The sequence below is a fragment of the Homo sapiens genome, chromosome 7 (assembly GCF_000001405.40).
Source record: "Homo sapiens chromosome 7, GRCh38.p14 Primary Assembly".
NCBI classification, from domain to species: Eukaryota; Metazoa; Chordata; class Mammalia; order Primates; family Hominidae; genus Homo; species Homo sapiens.
The window spans coordinates 70,853,279-70,860,820 of record NC_000007.14 but is presented as its reverse complement, the minus strand read 5'-3'; the positions used below and the strand labels follow the sequence as shown (position 1 = coordinate 70,860,820).

The following is a 7,542-nucleotide window of genomic DNA, read 5'->3' as shown; positions in this document are numbered from 1 at the left end:
AAGCACTTGGAGGCCAAGCTGAATTGTCCTGCGTGCAGACACCATGACTGAGAAGATGACTTCAATTAAAATGGAGTTAATTAAGCTTTGAGTCTTGAAATCTCTACTGAATCACTAAATTGGAAGGATGAAATAAACCCTCTACTCACTCAGCAGCGTTGGGTGAAGGGTCCAATGATGGGATCAGGCCCTACAGATAATATTTCCCCTTAGAGGGTCCGGTTTTTTCCTCCCTTAGGATATTGGGTGCAGAAAGTTAAGCCAATCCTAACACTCAGCTTGCAATCATTCTGACGTAACATAGTAGCTGTCTCACGAGTCCGTGTGAAGAGATCACCAAACAGGCTTTGTGTGAGCAACAAGGCTGTTTATTTCACCTGGGTGCAGGCTGGCTGAGTCCGAAAAGAGAGTCAGCAAAGGGTGGTGGGTTATCATTACTTCTTATAGGTTTTGGGACAGGCAGTGGAGTTAGGAGCAATGTTTTGCGGGCAGGGGATGGATCTCACAAAGTACATTCTCAAGGGTGGGGAGAATTACAAAGAACCTTCTTAAGGGTGGGGGAGATTACAAAGTATATTGATCAGTTAGGGTGGGGAAGAAACAAATCACAATGGTGGAATGTCATCAGTTAAGGCTATTTTCACTTCTTTTGTGGATCTTCAGTTGCTTTAGGAGATCTGGATGTAGACGTGCAGGTCACAGGGGATATGATGGCTTAGCTTGGGCTCAGAGGCCTGACAGTGGCCTCTCTTCACTCCCCTCCCACTCTCCAGACCCCACCACCAGAAGCATCCATCCTGATGGGTTTAATGTATCTTTGGATATATGTTCCTCTGTGTGTGTGTGTGTGTGTGTGTGTGTGTGTGTGTGTGTGTGTGTGTGTGTTGCTGTTTTGTGTATGCATTTATCTTCAGTTTATGTAAGTATCTCCTTCTGTTTGTTGTGCTGTTTCACTCAATGCTGCTTGTCGTTTAGCGTGGTTTATTGTTCTGTGCTATATATTAATCCTGTGTCAGGAGTGTCAGAGCTGTTTGAAACAGAGCTACTCCATCTTGAATAAGAGCTGGGTAAATAAGACTGAAGCTTACTGGGCTGCATTCCAGGGAAATTAAGGCATTCTAAGTCACAGGATGAGATGGGAGGTCAGCACACGATACAGGTCGCAAAGACCTTGTTGATAAAACAGTTGCAGTAAAGAAGCCAGCCAAATCCTGTCAAAACCAACATGGCGACTAAGGTCACCTCTGATTGTCCTCATTGCTCATTATATGCTAATTAAAATGCATGAGCACGCAAAAGACAGTCCCAGCAGTGCCATGACTGTTTGCAAATGCCATGGCAACACCAAGAAGTTACCCTATATGGTCTAAAAAGGGAAGGAACCCTCAGTTACAGGAACTGCCCACCCCTTTCCAGGAAAACTCATGAATAAACCACCCCTTGTTTAGCGTATAATCAAGAAAGAATGATAACATTAAATATAGTTAACCAGCAGCCCTTGGGGCTGCTCTGCCTATGGAGTAGCCATTCTTTATCCCTTTACTTTCTTAATAAACTTGCTTTCATTTTACTGTATGGATTCACCTTGATTTCCTTCTTGTGCAAGATCCAACAACCCTCTCTTGGGGTCTGGATCAGGACCCCTTTCTAATAACAGGGGGATTTGGCTCTCTCTACCTCCCCACTTCAACTACCAATGCCATGATGACATTGTTACATGGATCTCCCTTGTAGAGATACAGTGGGGTTGATGGGCATGCAGTCTACCCATTCTTAATTCCAGTAACTCCTACCAGGGTGCTCCCCTGAACACTGCATCAAGATATCCTCCCATCAACAGTGGATACATATCAATTGCCAGTTCCTCTATCCTCACCAACACTTGGCTTTATCTACCTTTCTAAATCTGCCAAATCTGATTGGTGTGAATAGTATCTCACTCATGTTATAAATTCTGTGATCACTAGGGATGTTGAGCAGTTCTTCATGTTCACATTAGCCATTTGCATTTCTGCCTCAATGAATTCTTATCATTTGCCCACTTCTCAAATGGATTTCTAGGAGGCTTTAGTTGGATTTCTTTCCAACCTTATGTAAAATTCTTTTTTTTCTGACAAAAAAATGCCATTTAGAAAGGAATTTCTTACCTAGAATAACTATTAATCCCTTGTTTGTTTTTAATGTTAAAAATATATTTTTTAATCTGTTAACTCTGCCTGTAAGTTCTTCGTTAAATAGAAATTCTTAATTTTGATTTACAACTTAGAGTTTTGCATTGGTTAGCACAGGCTGAGCTGTGTAACAGATAGACTCAAACATGTATTAAGTGACTTAACACAATAGAAGCTTATTTCTCTCTCACACAGCAGTCCACCATAGTTCCGAGCCATCAACAGGGAATAAGGTTGGGGGTTTTATTCTCTGTTGATGGCTCACAGGCTGAGTCACAGGTTGACATGGCCCCACCATCTTCATCCTTGTAGTTGTCATTCTAGTTGTCATGAGGGGATGGCTGGCCCTGCTGTTTTCTACCCTGCGGTAGTTCCTAGGAGGTGAGCAATATGCTGAAAGCAATATGGGAAGAGAAAGGAAATGAGCAAAGATCTCAACCCCAACCTAATGAAGAAAATAAAAATATTTTACCCCAAAATATATTTCTTTGGCATAACTTGAAATAGCTGCTGCAGAGCCAGCAAATAGAGTTGGCCTTGCAAAGCTGTCTTTGTGGGGAAAATTTGCATCTGTAGAGAATCTTCATTAACATAGCCACATGTCCCCCTTTCTATGCCTTTTTTAGATCTAGGAGTGATTGAGAATCTGACACCTTTAAACCTTTGAAAAGAAACTTACTATCTAGTCACTCTGAGGGAGACTTCATCTACATAACAAGGCCACCTTTGGAGCCAAGCCTCTTCCTTTCTTCTTCCCATAAACTGTCTTGCCACTAAAACCTATTTTGGACATATTCTGAGTCTGGATTCTTTCTGTAATTTCAAGATGGCAGATTAGCTTCTGCCACCTATTGGGAAGCTGGATCTTCATACTGAAGGCTCTCGTGTATACACATTAAATAAATTTGTATGCCTTTCTCCGATAACTCAATCAGCCTTGTGACAGTAATTTTTTAGCTAACCTGTAGGGGGGCCAATAGCCCTGGCCCCCACCCTAATCTCTGTGGCTGCCTTTCCCTCCCCTGTGGGGCCCAACCACCCTCTGACTCCTCTGACTCCTCTTTTTATATTAGACTCTGAAATCCATAAAACACTTCTTCCTTCTGTGACTTCTCCAAATGTTGGAGGAAGACAGTTGTCTGTGTTCATTCACCATCTTGTTAGAAATCCAAAAAATGCATCTAGAGTCTTACATTTCTCCAGAGAAGTGAAACAGTCATCTGTCTGCTCATACGCCCCCTAAGAGTTTCTTCCTGGAGTAGCCTAAATATATCTCCTCTTCCCAACTCCACAACCAACTTTTCTTAACCATTCTAATCTCAAGATCACTGATTCTCCTCAAAGAGATTTGAGCAGCCTTTTTCTATAACTCTGTAAATACACTCAAGTCAGTAACCCAATCCTGCAATTGTACTTTTTGTACATAGAAGCCTATTGCTGCAGGAAAAGAGCACAGAGAAAACTTAAATTCACTGATCAAGTTTATCCACCTGCTGCCTATGGAAATTGTTCCAATGGGCTGGTGCAGAGCGCCCCCTGGTGGCCAGAGTTCAGTTTTTCTCCAGGTGTTCTTAGCGATTCCCTCCAGGACAATTTTATGGGTTTTCTGTTGTTTTGTTTTTGAGTCAGAGTCTCACTCTGTGCCCTGGGCTGGAGGGCAGTGGTGCAATTATGGCTCACTGCAGCCTGAAACTCCTGGGCTCAAGCGATCCTCCTGCCCCAACCTCCCAAGTGGGTGGGACCACAGTTATGTGCCACCACGCCCAGCTATTTTTAAAATTTTTTTGTAGAGACGGGGTCTCGCTATGTTGCCAGGCTGGTTTCAAACTCCTGCCCTCAAGCGATCCTCCCACCTCCGCCTCACAAACTACTGGGATTACAGGTGCTGCCCCCAGCCCCCGGGATGTTTTTCTGTCTCCTCGAGACCTCCTGCACTCCCCAGCTACACTGGCTGCTTCTCACCTTTGATTTTTAACTACCACCCACCCAGATGCAAAGAACTTGGAACATACACCTCCAGCCTGACTTTCCCCTGAACTCTAGACCATGCATCTGACCACCTCCTAGACTTCTGTCCCTAGAAGCTCCATGGACCGGCAGCTCAGACTCAACATGCCCCACCTGGAACCCATCATTTCCCCCTAGCCGGCTCCCTGTGTACTCCTGACCTCAAGGGCTGACACCACTATCTTCTGCAGAGTCACACTGACTCCCCTTCCCCTCGTGATCTGCTGTGGGTTGAATCATGCCCTCCAAAAAGACAAGTTGAAATTCTAAGTCTTCATACCTGTAACTGACACAGTATTTGGAAATAGAGACTTTGCAGATGTAATTAAGATGTAAATCAACTCATGCCTGTAATCCCAGTGTTTTGGGAGGCAGAGGCAGGACAATTGCTTGAAGTCGGGAATTCAAGACCAACCTGGGCGACATAGCAAGACACACCTCTACAAAAAAAAAAAAAAAAAAAAAAATTATCTGGGCATTGTGGCTTATGCCCATAGTCCCAGCTACTGGAGAGGCCAAGGCAGGAGGATCGCCTGACTCCAAGAGTTTGAAGCTGCAATGAGCTATGATTGTGCCACTGCACTCCAGCCTGGGTGACAGAGTGAGACCCTATCTCAAAAACAAAGAAACTGGCCGGGCACGGTGGTTCACACCTGTAATCCCAACACTTTGGGAGGGCGAGGCGAGCAGATCACCTGAGGTCAGGAGTTCAAAACCAGCCTGGCCAACATGGCGAAACCCCATCTCTACTCAAATATAAAAATTAGCCAGGTGTGGTAGCGTGCCCCTATAGTCCCAGCTACTTGAGAGGCTGAGGCAGGAGAATCGCTTGAACTCGAGAGGTGGAGGTTGCAGTGAGCTGAGATGGCACCATTGCACTCCAGCCTGGGCAACAGGAATGAAATTCCGTCTCAAAAAAAAAAAAAGAAAAGAAACAAGCAAATAAATAAATAAATGAAAGTTGAGATCACACCAGAGCAGGATGGGCCTCTATTCCAATATGACTAGTGTCCCTATAATAGAGAAACAGAGAAGCACACAGGGAGAGCTCCATCTGGCAACCCAGGCAGGACTGGAGTGACACAGCTACCAGCCAGAGTAACAGAGATTGCTGGCCACAAGCAGGAGCCCAGAAGAGGCAGAGAAGGATTCTCCTAGAGTCACAGACAGAGCAGGGCCCTGCTGACCCCTGGATTTTGGACTTCTAACCTCCAGGACTGTGAGAGAACACATGTCTGTTGTTTCAAGCCACCCACTGTGTGGTACAAGCACAGATCGTGTCATTGCACTTGGCTTTACTGAGCTTCGCATATACTGTCCTTACGAATGGCAGGTTTGTGGCAATCCCGCCTCAAGCAACGCTCTAGGCACTGTTTTTTCAACAGCACATGCTCACTTCATATCTCTGGGTCACGTTTTGGTAACCATCACAGTATTTCAAACTTTTTCATTATGATTATATGTGTTATGGTGATCTGTGATGAGTGATCTTAGATGTTACTGTTGCAGTTGTTTTGGAGCAGTACAAACCCTACAAGGTAGAGAAATGAACTGATGCGTGTTCTGACTGCTCCTCTGACCAGCTGCTCCCCATCTCTCTCTTTCTTTGGGCCTCCCCATTCCCAGGGACACAGCAATATTGAAATTAGGCCAACTAATAACTTTACAATGTCCTCCAAGTTGTTAAAGCAAACTAAATATGGCCCTAGAAGGACTCCGTACTTCTATATTGGAGTCCTTATGGATGAACTCTAACCTATCTTAATAGTCAGGCGAGATGGGAAACCTAATTCAGGAGTTGGCACCTGTAACAATAACTGAGTCTTGGCCAATCCCTGCAGCCATACTTCAACCACTCGTAGACTGCTAAGTGTTCACACTGTGTTCAAATAAGGCAAACGCCAACCTGTAACCAATCCAGCTGTTTCCGTACCTCGTTGCCAATGTCTGTACTTTTTTTTTTTTCTATAAATCTTCTTTCACCACGTGGCTATGCTACAGCCTCTGTGAATCAGCTGTGATTCTGGGGGCTGCCCAATTCACAAATCGTTCATTGCTCAATTGAACACCTTTAAATTTAATACGGCTGAAGTTTGTTTGTTTGTTTGTTTAATCAAAGTGTTCAAGTGAAAGGAAGAGTCACACATCTCCCACTTCACATCAAAAGCTAGAAATGATTCTGCTTAGTGAGGAAGGCAGGCCAAAAGTCAAGACAAGCTGAAAGCCAGGCCTCTTGCACCAAACAGATAAACAAGTTGCAATTGCAAAGGAAAGTTCTTGAAAGAAATTAAAACTGCTACTGCAGCAAACACATGAATAAGAAAGTGAAGCAGCTGTATTGTTGGTGTGGAGAAAGTTTTAGTGGTATGGATAGAAGATCAAACCAGCCGCAACATTCCCTGAACCAAGATCCAATCCAGAGCAAGTCCCTCATTCTCTTCAATTCTAGGAAGGCTGAAAGAGGCGAGGAAGCTGTAGAAGAAAAGTCTGAAGCTAGCAGAGCTTGGCTCATGAGGTTTAAGGAAAGAAGCTGTCTCCATCACATAAAAGTGTAAGGGGGAGCTGATGGAGAAGCTGCAGCAAGTTATCCAGAGGCTCTAGCTGTACTCATGGATGAACGTGGATACACTCAACAACAGATTTTCAATATAGACAAAACAGCTTGAGATTAGAACATGATGTCATCTAGAACTTTCATAAACAAAGAGAAGAAATCAACGCCTGGCTTCAAAGCTTCAAAGGACTGTCTGACTGTCTAGCAGGGGGCTAATGCAGCTGGTGACTCCAAGTTGAAGCCAGTGCTCATTTACCATGCTGCAAATTCTAGGGTCCTTCAGAGTGATGCTAAATCTACTCTGCCTGTGCTGTAGAAATGGAACAAAGAAGCCTGGAAGGCAGCACATCTGTTTACAGCATGGTTTACTGAACACTTCAAGCCTCCTATTGAGAACTACTGCTCAGAAAAGAAGATTCCCTTAAAAATACTATTGCCCACTGACAATGCACTTGGTAACCCAAGAGCTCTGATGAAGATGTACAAAGAGTTGAATGTCGTTTTCATGCCTGCTAACACATCCATTTTGCAGCCCGTGGATCTCGGAGTAATTTCAACTTTCAAGTCTTACTATTTAAGGAATACATATCATAAGGCTATAGCTGCCACAGATAATGATTCCTTGAATAGATCTGGGCAAAGAAAATGAAAGCACCTTTCTGGAAAGTATTCACCATTCTAGATGCCATTAACATTTGTGGGGGCTGGGTGTGGTGGCTCACGCCTGTAATCCCAGCACTTTGGGAGGCCGAGGCGGGCAGATCACGAGGTCAAGCGATCCAGACCATCCTGGCCAACATGGTGAAACAC

At 44.3% G+C, this 7,542-nt stretch overlaps 2 annotated features.

Annotated features, from left to right (window-relative positions):
• Positions 1,718-2,667: an enhancer, noted in NCBI's record as "OCT4-NANOG-H3K27ac hESC enhancer chr7:70323140-70324089 (GRCh37/hg19 assembly coordinates)". NCBI's record gives its function as "activates a minimal SCP1, AML or CMV promoter by ChIP-STARR-seq in primed H9 embryonic stem cells {active_cell/tissue: H9 hESC(primed)}" and the evidence as "EXISTENCE:reporter gene assay evidence [ECO:0000049][PMID:30033119]".
• Positions 6,925-7,094: an enhancer, noted in NCBI's record as "experimental_99892 CRE fragment used in MPRA reporter constructs". NCBI's record gives its function as "activates a minimal promoter by MPRAs in K562 erythroleukemia cells, with activity observed for both the introgressed and non-introgressed 7:70318798 variant alleles {active_cell/tissue: K562}" and the evidence as "EXISTENCE:reporter gene assay evidence [ECO:0000049][PMID:34662402]".